General features: G+C 41.3%; 1 long non-coding RNA gene and 1 pseudogene across 4 annotated transcripts in view; both read right to left on the bottom strand.

Moving 5' to 3' along the window:
- On the bottom strand, positions 1108-2368 carry TCEA1P3 (transcription elongation factor A1 pseudogene 3; annotated as a pseudogene).
- The window catches only part of LOC105376041 (uncharacterized), a 52879-nt gene continuing 33930 nt past the window's right edge, over positions 3163-22111 (bottom strand). For 2 of the 4 annotated variants that reach the window (XR_007061485.1, XR_007061484.1), the window contains one exon: positions 15849-18549. This is a non-coding gene — a long non-coding RNA (uncharacterized LOC105376041). Of the gene's footprint in view, positions 8765-10686; positions 10806-15848; positions 18550-22111 lie in introns of those variants that run through there. The other 2 variants (XR_007061486.1, XR_007061487.1) reach the window with 2 other exon arrangements.

Here is a 22111-nt window from a genome sequence, read left to right as displayed (position 1 = left end):
TCAACAAAGTCTTGTTTCCAAAGTAAAATCTATTAAGAACAAGCAATATACAAGCACAAGAAATTACAAGAAATGAGGATCATAGTTAGTTACAGATGCAAAGTAGTATCTAGCATCCCAAGCTTTTGGACATAATAATGAAAATCAAATTAATAAGTTAGTTCAAGTATTATGTACAATTTTGATAAGCTGGTCACGTGTTATTTGAATACACACCATATGTGGTAAACCTAAAAGTATATTACCTTTTCTCCTCCTTTAATATTTGTAGATACATGCCAATATGGGAAAAAAAGTATTTCCATTTATGTACTAATAACAGAGAATAACAGAATTTCTACTGTGTATATTTCACACTGTTAAAAAAAAGTTGGCTGGGCACAGTGGCTCATGCCTGTAATCCCAGGACTGTGGGAGGCTGACGTGGGTGGATCACAAGGTCAGGAGTTAGAGACCAGCCTGGCCAACATAGTGAAACACTGTCTCTTCTTAAAATTCAAAAATTAGCAGGACATGGTGGTGCACACCTGTAGACCTAGCTACTCAGGAGGCTGAGGCAGAAGAATCCCTTGAACCCAGGAGGCAGAGGTTATGGTGAGCCGAGATTGTGCCACTGCACTCCAGCCTGGGCAACAGAGTGAGACTCCATTTCAATAAATACATAAATAAATAAATAAAAGGCCAGGCGTGGTGGCGCACACCTGTAATCCCAGCACTTTGGGAGGCCAAGGCAGGCGGATCACAAGATCAAGAGATCGAGACCATCCTGGCCAACATGGTAAAACACTGTCTCTACTAAAAATACAAAAATTAGCTGGTGTGGTGGTGTGCACCTGTAGTCCCAGATACTCGGGAGGCTGAAGCAGGAGAATAGCTTGAACCTGGAAGGTGGAGGTTGCAGTGAGCTGCGCCACTGCACTCCAGCCTGGTGACAGAGTGAGACTCTGTCTCAAAAAAAAAAAAAAAAAAAAATTAAGGTGTATTTTCCTTTAAGAAAGAAAAAAAATAAACTGCAAGAAGTTTAATTTATAAAAGTTTAATATCGACTTATTTATAAAAATGAAAAAAAAAAAAACGTTTTAAAACAGATCCCATACAATTATCCTGTGGTCTCCCTACTGATCAGGAACTACAGAAGACACTTAAGGAAGGGATGCTGGGTCAAAAACAAAGCCTAACCCGCGGGATGTATGTTGCTCTAAAAATCTGATTTGCAGGAAAACTAGTTGCTTGTCCTAGGTTTAAGCTAATTACAAAATCCGTTTTCTTAGTGGTCCAGATATTTTGCCAATTTTTCCATCTCAACAGAACTTCTGTTGATTTCCACATTCATTACAGTCAACAAACGTTGCCATTGGTTCACCAACACTGCAGGCTTGTACCTGTGTGGAAGTGCAATTCTTTTTACATTTGCCACATGTGAGCGAATCAGGCTGGGTTCCACCTGTCTTGGCCATCTGATGCTCTCTGATGGCTTCTTTCGTCAAGTTTTTGTGCATCTCTTTGAGCTCATCGCTAGCCATTTCTTCTGCGGACATTCTAGCAAGTAAGTCAGGAGGAATATTCCCACACGATGCATTTTTCCTTAAATTTGGATTCTTTGCATCTGTAAGATTTGATATCTTACTTTGGACTCTATTTTTGTACTTCATGCCTGTATTCCCTCTTTCTGGATCTACAGCTTCCTCAATTCGAGATCCTAATTCTTCCTCATCAGCTCCCATTTCAATGCAGTCATCTCCTGTTCGAAGAGCTGCAGCAAGCATCTCCCTGTACTTCATCCGCACAGAATTAGAAGCGCTTCGTGCCGAGGAACAGATGAAACAAATATCTCAAGCATTTGTTTTATCCTTTCTGCTGCTTACGTTGCCGCTGGAGCTACTTTCTTTTGCTATTCTGTGATGTCATTGCAGGTTCTATTCGCTTTTCGTTGGGGTCTTTCTCAGTTGATGGCTCATCTGGTAACGTTTTCCAGGATTTGACGAAAGACTTTGCTAGAGATGTAACTTCTTCATCTGTACTCTGCTTGAGACTAACATTAAGTAACATTCCAGTTCCTGTGGACCGCAGTAATTCCAGAACATTCTGAAGCTCGGTTAACAAACCCAGTGCTCCGGCCGTGTTCTTCTCCTGCACTATCTCGTCCATCTTCTTAGCACTGCGGGCCACCTCATCCTCCGTGGCTCCGGCAGGTCTCCTCCGTGCCTAGCCCGCTGGCAAGGGGAAGTGGGCGAAACCGGAGCAGAGGGGAGGGCGGGAAGCAGCCCCGGCGCGGCAAGACCCACCACCGCAGGCTGGGCCTAGGCCTCCGCCTAGACCAATCCCGCCCACGGCTCTTCCTCCCCAGGCAGCGCCAACCCAGCTCCGCACCCTCCCAGCTTCATTCAAGTATGACTGACAAATAAAAATTATATATATTTAGGATATGCAACATGATTTTTTGTTTTGTTGTGTTTTATACAAATAAGAAACTACAGTTCAGGGAGATACTGCATTTTGAATGCCTAACTTTTCTCTCAATGCTCTTTCAACTTGCTTTTCTTTATTTTTGATTGACAAATCATAAACATTTATGGGGTACAATGTGATGTGTGTGTATATACACACACACACACACACACACACACACACACACACACCAAATATGGGATGATTAAATCAAGCTGATTAACCTATCCATCACCTCACTTCTTTTGTTTACCACAGAACCATCAAGTCCAAATCCCTTTTTTTTTGAGACAGGGTCTCGCTCTGCTGCCCAGGCTGGAGTGCAGAGACACAATCTCGGCTTACTGCAGCCCTGACCTCCCAGGCTCAAGTGATCCTCCCACCTCAGCCTCCCGAGTAACTAGGATGACAGGCTCGTACCACAACACCCAGCTAATTTTATGTTTTATTATTTTTGTGTGTGTGTGGAGATAGGGATCCCGTATGTTGCCCAGGCTGGTCTCAAACTGTTGGGCTTTAGTGATCCACCCACCTTGGCCTCCCAAAGTGCTAGGATTACAGGTGTGAGCCACCATGGCTGGCCTCTTCTTTTTTAATGCAGGCTTTTCTTGCTATAAATTTCCCTCTTAGAACTGCTTTTGCTGCATCCCATAGGTTTTGGTATGTTTTGTTTCCATTTTTCTTTGTCTCAAAATGTTTCATTTTCCCCTTTGATTTCTTCTTTTACCCATTGATTGCTTAGAAGCATGTTGTTTAATTTCCATGTATCTGTGAACTTTCCCGTTTTTCTCCCATTATTGATTTCCAGTTTCATACCATTGTGGTCCCAAAAGAAACTTGATATGATCTATATCTTCTCAAATTTATTAAGATTTGCTTTGTGGCCCAACATTTGCTCTGTCCTGGAGAATGTTCCATGTGTGCTTGAGAAGATGTGCATTCTGTTGTTATTGGATGGAATGTTCTCTTTATGTCTGTTAAGTCCATTTGGTTTAAAGTTTAGTTCAAGTCTAATGTTTTCTTACTGTTTTCCTGTCTGAATGATCTATCCATTGTTGAAAGTGGAGTATTAAAGTCCCTTGCTATTATTGTATTGCCGTCTATTCCTCCCTTTAGATCTGTGAATATTTGCCTTATATATTTAAGTGTACCCGATGTTGGGTGCATATTATTTACAACTGTTCTATCCTCTTTATGAATTGACTCCTCTATCATTATATAATAACCATCTTTGTCCTGTTAGTTTTTGACTTAAAGCCTAGTTTGTCTAGTATAACTACCCCTGTGCTCTTTGCTTTCCATTTGCATGGAATATCTTTTCTCGTCCCTTCCCTTTCAGTCTGTGTGTAGCTTTAAAGGTGAAGTGAGTCTCTTGTAGCAACATATAGTTGGGTCTTGTTTTTTCTTTTCTCTTTTTTTTGAGACTCAGTCTCACTCTGTCTCCCAGACTAGAGTGCAGTGGCGCAATCTCGACTCACTGCAACTCTGCCTCACAGGTTCAAGCAATTCTCCTGCCTCAGCCCCCCTAGTAGCTGCAACCACAGGCATTTGCCACCACACCCAGCTAATTTTTGTATTTTTAGTAGAGACGGGGTTTTGCCATGTCGGCCAGGCTGGTCTCGAACTCCCAGCCTCAAGCAGTCCACCCACATCTGCCTCCCAAAGTGCTGGGATTACAGGTATGAGCCACCAGGCCTGGCCTTGTTTTTGTATTTTTTAAATCCATAAAGCCACCCTGTGTCTTTTGATCAGCAAATTTAGTTCATTTACATTTAAAGTAATTATTGATAGAGAAGGATTGATTATTGTCATTTTGTTGATTGTTTTCTGGTTGCTTTGCAGCTCTTTTACTATTTTTTTCCTCTCTTGCTGTCTTTATTTGTGATTCGAGGATTTTCAGTTGTGGTATGCTTTGATTCCTTTCTCTTCATCTTAGCGTATCTGCTAAGTTTTTGCTTCATGATTGCTATGAGGCATATTAAAACATCTTATAGTTATACTAGTCCATTTTAAGCTAACAACAACTTAACTTTGATCCTGTATAAAAGCTCTGCACACACACATACACATTCTGTTTTTGATATCACACTTTACATCTTTTATGTTGTGTATCACTTAATGAGTTATTATGAAGTTATTCTTAATACTTTTGACTATATATGTACCTTTACCAGTGAATTTTATACTTTCATATGTTTTCATATGATTAATTAGCAGCCTTTCATTTTCAGTTTGAAGAACTCCTTTTAGTATTTCTTGTAAGGCAAGTCTAGTGTTAATGGACTTCCTCCCTCTGTTTGTGTGAAGAAGTCTTTATCCCTCCCTTATTTATGAAGGAGAATTTTGCCAAGTAATGTATTATTATTGTGGTTTTTTAATAGGATCATACTATAAACATTGTTCTGAAGTTTGTTTTTTTGTACTTACAGTTATCCTGCACACCTTTTCATTACACACAGATACAACTATACACACAGATACAACTCATTCTGCTTAACCATCACATGTAACCGTAACTTAAAATCTCATTATAGATAAACTTATAGATTCTTTTCAGTTGTTTTATATTATAAATTATGCTACAGAAAAATCTTTGAATATGTGACTATAATATCCATGCTTGTGTGACTACTTTTGTAGACTATAAGTGGATTCATTGAGGCAAACAGTATGTACTTTTTTACAAAGCATAAATATTCCCAATTTTTTGATCAACAAAATTACATCAACTTACCAGTAAATGAGGGGACCCACTTCTCCACACTCACACCAACCCTAAATATTATTTAATCTATTTAATTTTATAAAACTTAGAGGTTAAAAATAAGAAGTCTCAGCTTTGCAAGATGAAAAGAGTGTGAGGATGGGCAGTGGTAATGGTAACAGAGCAACATAAATGTCTAATGCCACTGAACTGCACTCTTCAGTGTATTTTGCTGCAATTTTTAAAAAATAAAAAACATGGCTCTCATACAAAAATGTACCACATCACTTTCTCAGTAAAATTATTTTAGCAAAGTTCTAGTGGTAACAGAAATCAAAACCTTAAAAACATGCATATTCTTCAAATCAGTAATTTCATTTCTAGAAATGTATTCTAGAAAATCTGGCAAGGGAATAATATTATAAGGGGAATAATATCGTAAATACATTTGGCATGAAGTTTTTCAAACAATGACAAGTGGAAAACCACCTCAATGTTTCAGAATACGGGACTGATTAAATATCACTGCGTATCACCACACAATTAGCTATTTACAATTATGATCTAGATGAAGAATTGAAACATGAAATTTTGTTCCAGTATTTTGTTTTGTTGAAAAAAGCAGATCACAAAACAGTGTATGTGTGTGTGTGTGTGTGTAATGCTTTTCAAGTGATTAATCTAGACAATTATCTGACAAGCATCCAGAGATCATGTTAAAACTTTACGCAGATGAAGCTTGCGGAACCTGTCTGAACACTTTATTCGCACAAAAAACTACATCCACCATCTCTGAGTGCTCATTCTGGGCCAGGCCTTTTATGTATACAGCTCATTTAGTCCTCACAGCATCCCTTCATGGTAGACACTTTCATTATTTCTGTTGTGTAAATAATGACTCAGGAAAATTGAGTGCCAGGCCCAGGCTCACAGCCAGGCCTGGACTGGGCTTGGCTTACCTGGTGGGAGATGCAAGGGCTCAGGGTGATCTCCAGAGCGGGAGATGCTACACAGATGTGGAAACCTACCATCATTTCTCCAGAGGAGGGAATGCACGGTACAGCCCATGCTGTCTGACAGTGGGAGGGAGAGGAAAAAAAAGGAATGAGTCCCAAACCTCTTTTGTTTCTTTCTATGGCTCCCAGGAGCTTGTTTTTCACCAAGATTGTAGGATGTTGGTTTTCAAGGCTACCATGTAGCTGGGAGGATGTGATGAGCATAGAGCAAATAAGAACATTACAAATCTCACTATTCTAACCAAAATTCAGCCTATGTTCTTGAATAAATGCTCCGAGATTACAGCAAACCTTTGGATATTTTCCGGAGTTCTGAAAAAGTTGCTTCTATTTTTCTGAGTTGCTTTTATGAAGACAGGAATTTTAGAAGGTTCCTAGCTTGCCATTTTTACTGACATCACTTCCAAATACACTTTTTTTTTTTTTTTTTTTTTTTTTGAGATAGAGTCTCGCTCTGTTGTCCAGGCTGGAGTGCAATGGTGTGGTCTTGGCTCACTGCAACCTCCGCCTCCCAAGTTCAAGCAATTCTCCTGCTTCAGTCTCCCTAGTAGCTGGGATTATAGGTCCACGCCACCATGCCCAGCTAACTTTTGTATTTTTAGTAGAGATGGGGTTTTGCCATGTTGGCCAGGCAGGTCTCGAACTCCTGAACTCAGGTGATCCTCCCGCATCAGCCTCCCAAAGTGCTGGGATCACAGGTGTGAGCCACTGCGCCCGACCCCAAATACGCTTTTAAATACATTTCTGAACTCACAAAAATGTAGAGGAAGTACAAAATGATTACACACACACACACGCATGCACGCAAACAATCTAGAGGTGAAACTAAAGTCATCAGTCAACACAGAAGCCAGAGATGCCCTGGAAGTGTGCCAAAACCAAAAACCTAGAGCTTTGTTAGTTAATATTGCGGCTGCCTGAGGTAGTACATAGGAATTGGGGCAATCAATAGGAAAATAAAAATACTTTCTTTTTTAAAGAGCTGGGAATGAGATGTCAATAGGGGACACTGAAATGCTCTGACACATTCCTGGGAATCTAGAATTTTTCTGGTTAACTGACTAACAGGATTTGAACCTGATAAGGTAGGAAACTGAATCTGAGACCTCCACATAAATCCAGGCACCAAAATGGGCTACATATTTAGTGGAAAAGACAAAGCTGGAAGGATATGACAAGTGAACCAATAAGCAAATCAGTCTCTGCAGGCGGTGGGTTGTAAAACATTAATAATTTTAATAGTCTTCCCTAATGTTTTCTAACCAGCTTTACTTTTATGCTGGAATTTGAATTTACACCATACTCATAGTCCAAGAAAACTCAAACCAATAAATCTAACTAGAATGGTTCCTGATTGGTCCTGCTTCCAGAGCCAAGCAGAAACCAAGCAAATCATCTCAATTTCGGTCTCTCAGGAAACCCAAAGTTAAAGTTTAGACAAATATGAGCTATTTATAAAATTTAACAAAGAGTTGAAGTGTCAAACTACCATAAGCAGGAGTCAACAGAAACCATAAAGAGAAGAACAAGACATAGAAAAATACAAATATTAAAATTATAACAAACTTTATACTCAGGAAGTAGGTTTAAAAGCATGTTTAAAGTGAAAAGATAGAGATCAGCACGATGACTATGGGGAGCATTAAAAGGGGCCATTGGTCCACTCTGGAACTTCAAAGTAGGTTTTCTGAAAAAGATGATGCTTGAGCTTAGGCTTGAAGGACAGTAAATAATTAACCAGGAGGAAAAGTGGTGAGGGAGTTTCAGAGAAAAAGATCATAATGAACAAATACATGGAAGCACTGAATAGCAGAGGGACTTCAGGGGAAATTATAAACATTTACCTATTACTACAAATAGGTAACAAAGGTAGAGCAGAGAGGAACAGGAGATGCCTGTCCATTACATTAAGAAGTATAGACATTATTTAATAGGAAATAGGAGTCAAAAAAGGATTTTAAGAAGGGAAGTCTCAGGATAATTTTGTTTTAGGTAGTCTGTGTTTCAGTGGTGAGGGCAGAGGGGCAACACTGAAGTGTCAGGGATCAGTTAGGAGGCTACTACACAGCTTAGGTGAGAGATGTTGATGGTCTGAAAACCAGGGTGGTAGTAAGAATTGAGAGGAGAGACAGGTTTGAGAAACGGCAGAACACATTAGCACAACTTGTGATTGACTAGCTATGTGGAAGACAGCCAAAGCAATCCTATGCAAAAAGAATGAAGCTGATGGCATCACACTACCTGACTTAAACCATCTACAAGGCTACAGTGACCAAAGCAGCATGGCCCTGGTACAAAAACAGACACACAGGCCAATGGAACAGAAGCTTTACTTCTGAGGAGTAAATGAGAAAACACCTGTCTGTGAATGCACACCTTGATGAACATGGGGTGCTCTACAAATGGAAGCATCACGAACGACAACAACTACCTTTTTATGCAAATGAAAAAGTGGAGCCCCAGTAGTGACAGAGGCTTGTTCAAGATCACACAGCAACTTGACCATGGTGATAGGACTGAAAACCCCAAAAAAGGCCAATAGAGACTTACCTGCCCGTGGGGACACTGTGAAACTTGAATAATGGTGACAGCAAACCTGCAGGAATAGAAACAGAGTTTGGGGCCTTGGGGTTCCCTCCCAGCACAGCCCCAGGAGCAGCCCCCGTGAAAATGGCTCAGATCCCACCCACCCACACCTACCTGTCCCCCTTGGGAGGGCTGATTCCCGGGCCTCCATGGACATCTCTCCCCAGTCGGTCACCCTGCTTGTGCCAAAGTAGGCACACACTAAATTCATTCATTCACCTGCCCTCATGGAGGACATAGTCTTGGAATCCGTGACGGCAGAGCAGGAGGCCCTTAGAGAGCTCATCCTCCCTCCCCTCACCATTCAGGTGGGAGCTGGAAGTCCAGGGTTGGCAAGGGATTTATCCAAGTCACACATGGGCATGGGCAGACTCAGGTCTCCTGACTCCATGGCTAAGGATCTTCCTGCCTCTATGTGACCTGTTTGTAGACTCTGCTCAGAAGTCATGAGCCTTGATGCTTTACCCCACCCCACCCCCCACATGCATTCCTGGTTCTGTTCCAGCTTGGGCCATACTCCCATGGTGCCCAAGGTGCTGATCGATTCCCACCACCATGTTCTCTCCTGGGCAAACGTCTGTCAGAGGCTGATGAGATGATGTTATGCCACATCTAACCCTGGATACCCTCTATTTAAATTTCTATAAAGCAGATCACTTACAAACTTTATGATTGTAGCCACTGGTGTATCAGTTGCTTGTGAGGCCCCTGCCCATCATCTCTGACTAAGTGGGAGAATCCCAGCCTCACAGAAAATGCTGGTTGGGGGAAAGAGCCCAGCAAAGGAGTTGGGAACAAGGAAATGAGTCTCCGCAGCTGGAGAGTAGACTTGTTGGAGGGGTTTTCAGTCAACAACTGTTCTCTGGTGCCAGCTCTGTGCTAAGTCTGGTGCCTGGCACTGAGGGCACAGAGCTCAACATGAAGATCAAGAAGCTTTCATCTGGTGGGAGTGATTGTCCTTGTAGCAGGAGTGTATACTTATCTCTAGACATGACCCACACAGGGAATGGGGACATACAGACAAAGAGGCCAGAACACCTGGTCCATGCAAGTCTGTCTTGTTCTCCAGTGTATTTCCTGGCTCGTAGTAGGGATGCAATGGTTGTTGAATGAATAAGTGGATGGATGAAGGAATGGAGGAGTCTTGTATGGGTGGAGTTGTATGCCAGACATTGTTGGGGGATGGAGGGAAAAGGAGAGGCCAGACTGTGATGGCCCTGAATGCCCAGCTAAGGCACGGGAACTTTCTCCAAGGCTCCCGAGAGAAGCCATGGCAGCACCGATGAAAAGCCTTGAAAAGGGCTCCTGAGTCTTCCAGTGGGGCCCCCAGCAGTTTACAGAAATGAGTTTTCCTCAGGAATGGAAAACGAAATACCATATTCTTACTTCTAAGTAGGAGCTGAGCTGTGGGTGCACAAAAGCATACAGAGTGATATCATGGACGCTGGAGACTCAGAAGGGGGAAGGGTGGGAGCAGGAATAAGGATAAAAAGCCACAGATCAGGTACAGTGTCCACTACTAGGCTGACAGGTGCACTAAAATCTCAGACTTCACTGTGATACAATTCATCCTTGTAATCAAAAACCACTTGTACCCCAAAAGCTATTGAAATAGAAATAAATAAAATAAAATTATAATTTATTTGAAAAAAAAAAAACAGAAATGAGTTATCCAAAATCCCTGACTTCTAGAAACATTCTAATGACAAGCAGCCTTGTGTGAAGCAGATAGAATGCCAGCCTGGCCTTCTGAAGCCTCTAATGCAGTCCCCACAATGGGACCTTGGACAAGTCACTCCTGCCCTCCCTGGGCCTCAGTTCTGGGCAAAGGTATCCTCCAAGGGGAGCTCCCAGATCACCTCCAGCCCTGCGCCCAGAGTTCAGTCACACTCAAGGAGTTGGGGGAGTGGGGGCAGGCAGAGACCGTCTTACCAGATCAGAGTAGCAGAAGCCCAAGATGGAGCTGACCAGCTGGAATTCCGACGAGAGGCAGGCAAAGAAGGGGAAGTGGGACAGGCCGACTTCAATGCCTCCAATCAGAAGCTCAAAGGCTGGGGAGACAGGGCCAGAGACACTGTGAGCTTCTCTTACCACTGGGTTCGGGGGAGTCCCAGGGAAGCTGTGGTACCTCATGCGGACTTCCAGTCAGGGACCTCAGGACCCAGTGAAAAGAATGGAACAGCCCCAGCTTAGGACCAGCAGGAATGCAGGAATGGCTTTCATTCGTTCATACAACAGGCCCTTCCTGGTCCCTATTCGGCGCCAGGCACTGGGCTTACTATTGACATGAAGGAGACTTGGTCTCTGTACTTGGTAAGCTCACAGTGTGATGGATGGAGACAGACTACATAAACAAACAGACAAATGAATGAGCAAAAATAGCGACTGCAAGTGCACCAGACTTAGAGAGAGGGGCTATGGTATGTGCAAAGCTGCTTGTCAACTACAGCGCACTTTACATATAAGGGAACAGTCATGTTAATCCTGCCACTAACTAGCTCTGAGATGGACTAACAGCATCCAGTATAATATAATCATGCATAATGATTAGATACTTTTCAAAGTGTCTACTCTGAGCTGAGTCCTGGGCCAGGCACTCAGGACAGGAGGAATGGACAAGGTTCTTGCTTTGAGATACTGACAGTCCAACAGGGGAGACAAGTGGGAAAGTCAGTGGCATGAAATGACCTGTAAGATAGGGACATTCAGCCTGCTGCGAGGACACAAAAGATGAAGCCACTGACCTCACTTGGGGTATCACGGAAGGCTTCCTGGAGGCAATGCAACATAAGCAGGAGACTACAATGGAGAGAAGTAGGGAAGGAAGGACATCAAAGGATGGGAGATAATTGGCTGGTCGGCACATGTGTGAATGTGAATGCTGGAGGGCTGGTGAGGAAGATCAATACAAAAACAATAATTGTGGTGAGGATAGCAGTTGCAGCAGCAAAACATTCTAATCTCCCTGAATTCCCCCCACAGAAACAGAGCAGCTAGAAAGACAAAACTAAAGACTCACAGACAACATCTGCAACAAATCTAGGTGACAAGACCCATTTGACGTCAATGTCTGAGTAAGAGGAAGCAGAAGAAAGGCTCTTGGGTCTGAAGACCCAAGAGCTGAAGAACTCAAAAATTTGCAGCAGATATTAACGAGAAAATGCAGCTGAAGGCCACAATTCATAGGTGAGTGTAAGCAGACCTTAGTAGGATCTGAAGATGCTGGAGTTGTCTAAGCCCCCGGAAATTCCTATACTAATAACCTAAGGCTCCTCCCAGGACAAAGCCCTTTACTGAGCATAAATTGCTAGCAGTAGAATCCAAAATGAGGAGTAGCTAGGAAATAATTTGTCTGGACAAGGGTGGAAAAGAGAGGCAGACTCAGAAAATATGAGGAGATAGATGGATGGATAGATAGATAGATAGGTATATAGTAGATAGATGATGGATGGATGATAGATATTAGGTAGATGATAAATAATAATGATAATGAGATAGATAGATAGAAGAAACAGAGATATAGTCACATTGTGAAAACAAAAAAGGGAACTCTAAAGCCACAAAGTAAGAAATAATGTCTGACCCAGCCTTCCTTCTTGAATTTATAAGAAAACTTATTTCACTTAAAAATCAGGCACAGATGGGTGCCTGTAGTCCCAGCCACTGGGGGACTGAAGCAGGAAAATCGCTTGAACCTGGGAGGTAGAGGTTGCAGTGAGCTGCGATCATGCCATTGTGCCCCAGCCTGGGCAACAGAGTGATACTCCATCTCAAAAAAAAAAAATTCAAAGTTATTATTTAAAAAAAGGATAAAGAGCAGAAAAATAGCACTACAGATCACAAAACCACTCCAGAAAGAGGCCTGTAAGACAGATGGAAACTGTAATCTAATATTTCAACATAAGCTAAAAAAATTAAGAAAATGATAGCATCTATGAACAAATAATCTATAAATCAGAATTTGAAAAACTATAAAAGGAAGTGATTAAAGAAAAGAAAGATTTGACGACAGGTTAGATAACTCAAGAAAAAAATTATAAATACAAGGAAAAAATCATTTCAGAAATGAAGACCAAAGTAAAACAAGCAGAAAATTGATATCCTGAATATATGAAGAGCACCTGAAAATAAAGTACACACTATATTTACACTTCCACATGAAACAAAAACCAGACCAAATATATAAAACAACTGCTTTCAAGACACTGGACTTCAGGCAGCAGAGGAAAATGATCACTGAAGGACAGGAAACAAACAAGGTGAGCCCCACCATTTCCCTACCTTAATGCAGAATGTAGTACAGGCAGGGGAAACCCAGGCAGAGCCCTGCAGGTTCCCCGAGTTGAGGAGAAAGAACTGAGACTCTGGGAAGACAAAGACAGCTAGAATTCGCAGGAGATAGTACTGGAGAGGAGGCAGCTGCACAAAGAGAGAGTTCTGGGAGACAGAGATCGGTAGAGGGTTCCCCTGAGTCTTCAGCTGAGTGCTGACCAGCACGGTTGTGTAGGAAAAAACCACTTGAAAAGATTAGAGGTAAACATGTCTGCAAGTCACAAAGTGCCAGGATAGTGCCTGTTCTCACCAGTCAGACTGAAAAACTTCATGACATCAAAAGCACAAGCAAAATTTGGACTTCCTCAAAATTGAAAACTTTTATGTATTAAAGGACATTATCAAGAAAGTGAAAAGAAAACCTACAGAATAAGAAAGCATTTGCAAATCATATATCACATAAGGATTTAATATACAGAATATATAAAGAACTACAACTCAACATCAAAAAGATAAACAACTCAGTAAAAAGATGGCCAGGACTTCAATAGACAAGTCTCCAGACAAGATATACAAATGACCAATAAGCACATAAAAAGATGCTCAGCATCACTAGTCATTAGGGAAACGAAATCAAGACAACAATGAGATGCTACTGCACACCTATTAGGATGGTTATAATCAACAAACACACAGAGAGAGAGAGAGAGAGAGAGAAAGAGAGAGAACAGTAAGGGTTGGCTAGGATGTGGTGAAATTGGAACACTTGCACATGGCTAGTAAAAATATAAAATGGTGCAGCCACTGTGAAAAGCAGTGTGCCAATTCCTCAAAAAGGTAAGCATAGATTTAACTTAGCAAGTGAGCCAGCAATTCCACTGTCGGGTATATAACCAAAAGAATTTAAGATGGGGACACAGATACCTGTGTACCAATGTTCACTACAACATTATTAACAATAGCCAAAAGATTAAAACAACTCAAGTGCTCATCAACAAATAAATGGATTACCAGCCATGATATAATGCAGTATCAGCCGTAAAAAGGAATGAGGTTCTGATCTATGCTACAACATGAATGATTCTTGAAAATATTATGCTAAGTGAAAGAAAGCCAGACACAAAAGTACAAATATTGTTTGAATCTGTTTAAAAGAAATGTCTCGAAGAGGCAAATTCACAGAGATAGAAAGTATATTAGAGCTTATCAGGGTGATATGGTTTGGCTGTGTCCCCACCCAAATCTCATCGTGAACTGTAGTTCCCATAGTCCCCATGTGTGGTGGAGGGACCCAGTGGAAGGTAATTGAATCATGGGAGGGTGATTTTCCCCCATACTATTCTCATGATAGTGCGTAAGTTCTCACGAGATCTGATGGTTTTATAAAGGGCTTCCCCCGTTGCTCAGCTCTTATTCTCTCTCCTGCCACCACGTGAAGAAGGACATGTTTGCTGTTTGCTTCCCCTTCTGCTACGATTGTAAGTTTCCTGAGGCTTCCCCAGCCCTGTGGAACTGTGAGTCAATTAAATCTCTTTCCTTTACAAATTACCCAGTCCCAGGTATTTCTTTATAGCAGCATGAGACTGGACTATGACACCAGGGTCTGAGGAGAGGAGGAAAGAGGAGTTATTGCTTAATAATGTTTGGAGTGATGAAAAGTTTTGAAAATAGATATTTGTAATGGTTGCACAAAATTGTGAATGTAATTAATGCCACTGGGTTGTATATTTAAAAATGATTGAAATGAAAAATTTATGTTACATATATTTTACTACAATACAATTTTTTTAAAGGAACAGAGCATCAATTAACTATGCAACAACTCCAATGCCCTAAAATTGTAGTCCTCAAGGAGGGAAAAGAGAGAAAAAATATTTAAAGAAATAATGGCCAAAATTTCTTCTTTCTTTCTTTCTTTCTCTCTTTCTTTCTCCTTCCTTCCTTCCTTTTCCTTTTTTCTTTGAGACAGAGTCTCACTCTGTCACCTACACTGGAGTGCAGTGATGCACTCTGGGCTGACTGCAACCTCTGCCTCCTGGGTTCAAGTGATTCTCCTGCCTCAGCCTCCCAAGAAGCTGGAACTACAGGTGCATGCCACCACAGCTGGCTAATTTTTTTTGTATTTGTAGTAGAGATGGCATTTCATCATGTGGGCCAGGCTGGTCTTGAACTCCTTACATCAAGTGATCCACCCACCTCAGCCTCCCAAAGTGCTTGGATTACAGATGTGAGCCACTGAGACTGGCCTTCCTTCCTTCTTTTTCTTTTTCTTTTTTTTTTTTTTTGAGACAGGGTCTTGCTCTGTAGCCCAGGCTAGAATGCAGTGGCACAATCATGGCTCACTGCAGCTTTGACAACCCAGGCTCAGGTGCTCCTCCTGCCTCAGCTTTCCAAGTAGCGGGGAATACAGGCATGTGCCACCATGCCCAACTAATTTTATTTTTATTTTTGTAGAGATGGGGTCTCACTAAGTTGCCCAGGCTGGTCCCAAAATCCTGAGCTCAAGAATCCTCCTGCCTCAGCCTCCCAAAGTGCTAGGATTATAGCCGTGAGCCACCTCACCATGCCCAAAATTTTTCTAAATTTGAGGAAAAATCAAAATGCAGAAATCAACAAACTCCAAGCATGAGAAATATCAAGAAAATTTGACACATAGTAATGTAATTGTTCAAAATCCGTGTTTTTTAAAAAACAAGCTTTCTCACTAATATGAGGAACAAGAGAAGGATGCTTGGTCTGATCACTTGTACTGAGCATTTTACTGGAAATTTCACCCTCTGCAATTGGGAAAAACATTAACAATAAAATAAAAGACCTCCATATTGGAAAAGAAGAAATAAAACTACTGCCTTTATTCACAGATAATATGATGTAGTATGTCCAAAATACTATACAATCTACAGAAAAAGCTACTGGAACTACTAACTGAGTTTAGCAAGGTTGTAGGATATAACATCAACATACAAAAATCAGTTGTATTTCTATATATTAGCAATGAACATTAAAAGATATAAAACAGATATAAATCTGACAGAAGATGTGAAAGATCTATTCACTGAAAACTACAAAACATTGCTGAGAGAAAGTAATGAACTCTAAATAAAAGGAGATATATATTGTGTTTATGGGTCAGAAGACTCACTATTGTTAAAATAACAATTTTCCCAAAATGGATCTAAAAATGTACAAATGATGTAATCCCAATTTCAGCATTATTTGTATAAATTGACAAATTTATTCTAAAATTCATGTAGAAATGCAAAGAATCTAGAATTGCAAAAATAACTTTGAAATAAAAATGTATCTGAAGGACTAATACCACCTGATTTCAAGACTTATTATAAATCTATAATAATGAAGACAGTATGGTATTGGTGCAAAGATAGACAAACAGATCAATAGGAGAAAATAGAGAGTCTAAGAATAGACCCATACATATGTGACCAATTGCTTTCCAACAAAGGTGCAAAGGCATATCAGTGGACAAAGGACAGGCTTTTGTAGCAAATAGTGCTAGAATACGTTTTATATGGCAATCCAAAGGCAAAAAAAAAACTTTAATCCACACCTCCTACTATATACTATATGCAAAAAAAAATTAGCTCAAAATGTATTGTAGACCTCAAAGCAAAATTTGAGGTTATAAAACTCTGGAAAAAAATACAGGAGAATATCTACATGACCTTATCTTAGGAAAATATTTCTTATATGACACCATAAGCCTGATCTATAAAAGAAAAAAAATGAGTCAATTGGATTTCATCAAAAGTAATGTCAACTCTTCAAAAGAGTTTGTTAGGAGGATTAAAATTCGAGCCACAGATTGGGAGAAAATATTTGCAATTCATATATGTGTATGATAATGGTCTCATACCCAAAATATATTTTTAAAACTCTTAAAACTCACTAAAAAGAAAGCTAAAAAACCAATTTTTGAAAACAGGCAAATGATTTGAACAGAAGCTTCATCAAAGGAGGTACAGGAATAGCAAATAAGCACATAAAAATATGCTCAACAGCATTAGTCACTATAAAAATGCAAATTAAAACCACAATAAGAAACCACTATACACTTCTTAGAAAATTTAAAATTTAAAAAATTAAATTAACAAAATGAATTTAATTTTAAAAATTAAATTTTTTACATTTAGAAACTAAAATTTAAAAATTGACTGTACCAGTGCTGGAGAAACTGGAACTCTCATACTGATGGGGATAATCTAAAGTGGTACAATCACTTTGGAAAGCAGTTTGACAGTTTCTTTAAAAGTATGATCTACTATATGATCTATGTAATCCAGCCTTTAAAAATATGATCTACTATATGGTCTGTGTAATCCAACCATTCTACTCATAGGTATTTACTCAGGAAAACTGAAGCATGGGTACATGAAAAGACTTGTACACAAACGTTCACAGCAGTTTTATTTGCAATGGCCAAAAGTGGAAATAAATCAGATGTTACTCATGAAGTGAATGGATAAACAAATTGTAGTCAATTTATATAGTGGAATACTACTCAGCAAGAAAAAAGGATAAACTACTAACACATGTTACATATGTATGAATCTCAAAATAGCTATGCTGACTGAAAGAAGCCAGACCAAAAAAAAAAGTACATTCTGTATGATTCTATTTATACAAAATTCGGGAAAATGCAAACTAAGTAGATTAGTGGGCATGTGACAGAAGAGGGGAGGAAAAGGGAGATTACAAAGGGGAACAAGGAAATCTCTGAGATTCCTTATCCTGATTGTGGCGATGGTTTCATTGATGTAAATATTTGCCAAAACTTCTCAAACTGTGTACTTCTAAGAGGTGTGTAATGATGCATTATTTTGGTTTTAATTTGCATTTTCTTAAAGACTAATGACCTGTTAGCGGGCATTTGATCACATAGGCTTGGAGCCCATGAGAGGGAACTGTACTGGACAGAGAGGTTTGAGAATGATTGTATCATGGAAAAGTGAACTTGTAGCTTAGAGTTACACTCCTCCAGATGGAGCATGAGGCATGGGGAAAGACGATGCCTCAGACTAATGGCCAAAAACATAAGCATTGTTCTTTGAGGAGGAATGGGGCTCATCAACATCAAGAAGGCAGCCATGACTATGACACAGGAGAGCTTTTGGCAGGTAGGTGAGGAAGAACCTACTTCCTAAGACTTGATATATCATATCTAAAGGACCTCTGAATGTAACTGGGGAAAGCCCCACAAAGAAGCTTTGAAGATTTGTGGGCTAGGTGTTGACCCTGGGCAAGCAACAGGCTGGCAAGAACATGACCATTCACAGAGTTTATCCTCTGATCCCAGACAGCGTGTGCCATGTGGTCTCTGAGAGCAAGAATTTTCATGATGCAGTTTCCAGCAGGTATGAGGTATCCCCAGTACCTTGGGCCCACTGCGGGATCTGCAGGGGCTGGTAGCCTTCTGAGAACAAAAACATGACCTTATTAGCTGTGGCCCCAAAGGTGATTCCATAGGACCATCGGTTACTGAAAGTGCCCACGAAGTCCAGAGGCCTGCAAACAACAGAAACAGTTTGTGAGGCCAGAAGGTGGCTCTGAGACATTCCCACAGATCATCGCCAAAGTAGAGATCCCACCCTGAGGAGGGATTATTGAATAGTCAGCTGCTTATTGCAACTGACATTTTGTGGGGCTCTCTGTGCCAGGCCTAGGGGTAAGCATGAATTCAGGGTACTGAAGTAAGGAGGACAAAACTCTTGCTCTGGAGGAGCTCCAAGATGAGCAGGAGATATCAGCAAGGACACCAGAAGCCTTGACAGCAAAATGGGATGAGTTTCATCTATAAGAGACACAGACAGAATGACTCAAGGACCAAAACAAGGTGTAGGTCCAAGACAGATTTGGGGAAGCCTGCCCTCAGCCAGCCACATTCTATGAGAATTCTTCCTTCCAATATACCTGATGAGGGTCTAGGTATCGTTTGCTATGTCTGTGCTTGAAGAAGTAAATAATAGGCACCCTGAAATATGCCACTCTGGCATATCGACTATTTTGAATTAAAGACATTCAAAAAACAGCAGGTACAAGAAGATCACTCTGACCTTCACGCTATTTCTTAAAAACAGGAGATGAAATTTCTATGTAAAAAATGCTCTCCCTATACAGAAAGAAAGTAACATTCTTATCATCAGGGACAGGAAGTTGAGGCCAAGAGAATTTGGTACAGACTTTATTTAAATAACTCTTGTCTTCTAGTCTCCCCCCACAACTTAGTTACTTTTTCACAACTTAACTATTTGTCCAATTCAATGTGTACGTATTCAACTCTAACTGTATATTTGGGTCTTCACTTCATTATAAGGGCTCCTGTGTCACCTAAAACTTATATTAAATAAATGTGTATACTTTTCTCCTATTGTCTTATGTCAGTTTAATTATCAGGCCCAGCTGAAAAACTTAAGAGGGTAGAGATATAATTTTGTCTCCCCTACACATTCATGCCTTCCTAGCCACAGTTGACTGGACTATGGGCCTGTCTTTGAATGGGCTGATCAGATGTCTGATCTTATATTTTGAATCTGTGACCCTAAGGACATGAACAAGTTAGCTGTTAAAGTACTTGTCTGGAAAGTCATAAAAAGTTGGGATCAGAGTCAGTGCCAGAGGAGAGCCAAGGTTACAGGGAAGCAGAGATTCTAAGTCAGAGAGGAAAATGGTAGAACGGTGCTGAGGAGGCACCAGTAACACAGAGGGGCAGAAAGAGAGAGAAAAAATCAATCTCCCACAGATTCCCATCTCAAGAGATCCAGTTCCCATGAGGCCTGTTCTGTTGGTTTATGTGAGACTCTAACTTTGTAAAAAAAAAAAAAAAAAAAAAAAAAAAGATCCTTTCTCACCAGGTGCGGTGGCTCACATCTGTAATCCCAGCACTTTGGGAGGCCAAGATAGGCGAGTTGCTTGAACCCAGGAGCTTGAGACCAGACTGGGCAACATGAAACAAGAAACCCTGTTTCTACAAAACATACAAAAATTAGCCGGGTGTTGTGGTGCCCACCTGTAGTCTCAGGTACTCGGAAGGCTAAGCTGGGAGGATGGCCTGAGCCCAAGAGGTTGAGGCTGCAGTGAGCCAAAATTATATCCTTATACTCCAGCCTGGGTGACAGAGCTAGACCCCATCTCAAAAAAAAAAAAAAAAAGAAAAAGAAAAATCCTTTCTCTTCCTTTAATGTAAACAAGCTTGAGTGAATATCTGTTTCTTCTAACCAAGACAGCTTTGTATAGGTCAGAGGAAGCAGTTGCATTTGGGAGAAGAAAAAAGTCTCTTTGAATGAATGAAAAGGGAACGGCCATTTAAAGCGGGCCTTAATGAAAACTCAGGAGGGAAGGGAGAGCCAGGCACTGCAGGCAGGGAGTCCCATTGGCTCACTCGCCTTCACATTTAAGGCTCAGCAGAAGGAGCACATCTTCCAGGAAGCCTCCCTGTTCACCCACTGCCAGTGAGGCTACCCCATCCGTGTCCCCTCAGCATTAAGTTCATGTCCCTGTTGAGCATACCTCTGTCACCCAGGCTAGAGTAGAATGGTGTAATTTTGGCTCACTGCAGCCTCAACCTCCTGAGCTCAAGCGATCCTCCCACCTTAGCCTCCCAAGTACCTGGGACTACAGGTGGGCGCCACCACACCAGACCCTTTTGAGACAGGGTCTATCTCTGTCATATTATTTCCTCTCTGACTTAGAATCTCTGCTTCCCTGTAACCGTGGCTCTCCACTTGTTTAGTTAACTATAAACCCCTTAGCGGTGGGGACCTAGCAATGGACCTTGGAAAGAGTAGGCGCTTAGTGCAGGTTTGTGGACATGCATTTTGTAGAACTGAATCGAAATCTAATCAAGATCCCATCTGTAGTACTTAAGAGCTATGTGAGACTCAGTTTCCTCACCTTTAAAACAGAGACACATCCCCTACTCTGCCCCTATCACATTCATTGTGGACAGCAAATGATGAACTGCTTTATCACCTGCAGAGTGCCACACACGTGAGGGGTTATTGCTCGGAGAAGATAGTGGGCCAAAATTATCAGACAAGCAGGGGTTTAGGTGGGAAAGTAGCCAGGGAGCATGTCAACTGTGTCATTATCCATGTAATTCAAAGTAGTTGAATGTAACTGCTATGGACCTCCTACTTTATAAAGTCCTGTGCCAGCCCCTACATGCTAAATGTCTAGGGCAGAACTGAAGGTCTTTATCCACCAGCTTCAGTCTCTTTCTATGCCTCAACCAATGGGTCTCAGACCTGGCAGTTTGGAAAGTGCTGACTGCCCCAGTGGGTGGTATCTAGAATGAATCTCTCACCTGCAGCTCAGGTCACCCCTTGCCTCAGTTCTGACATCTGTGCTTTCTCTCTTCTCCAGAGCCCTTGGCTGAGACCTCAGCATGTCCACAGCTTGAGCCTGCTAAGGTTATAACACTGGGGGGATTCAAAAGAATATAAGGCTGATCTGGGCTAAAGGTCTTGTCACTTGTTAGCTGTGTGGCCGTGGGTAGGTCACTTAACCTCTCTAAGCTTGAGTTCCCTCATTCATTGCATGAGGATAACAATTTCTACCATGCTAGATTGGCAAGAGGATTTGTCAGAATAATGTAGGCAAAGCAAATGGTTCAGTGCTTGGGTCACAGATGGTGTGCAATAAATGTTAACTGCATGATGATGAAGATGATTATAAGAAGTGATGAAACAGAGATACGAACAATCAGAACTCAAGGAAGAATGTGATATGAGCTGCAGAGACTCAAAATGGCAGAGCTAGAAAAGCTCTGAAAGCTCTCCTGGTGCATGACCCATGGTGCCATCCTAACAAGAAGCTTTGCTGTCTCCATTCACAGGGAGCTCTCTCCCTCCTGCCTCCTGAGGTAGCCATAGTCTCAGGTGTGGGAAGGTCTTTTCCATAGTAGGCTGTGTCTCTGTGAGATGATTTAAGCATATTTGAGCAGCCCTGGGTGCTGATAGCTGCAATGGCTTGGAAACCAATTCTGAACTCTGAGAGCTTTGGTTGGGTTGGGGCACGGAGGGGCAGGGCTGTGCACAGTGGGGTAGAGGTGGAGGAGAGGTCCTGGTAG

Source organism: Homo sapiens, chromosome 9 (genome assembly GCF_000001405.40).
Source record: "Homo sapiens chromosome 9, GRCh38.p14 Primary Assembly".
NCBI lineage: Eukaryota > Metazoa > Chordata > Mammalia > Primates > Hominidae > Homo > Homo sapiens.
The sequence above is the reverse complement of the archived record's forward strand: the minus strand, read 5'-3'. Positions and strand labels throughout refer to the sequence as shown.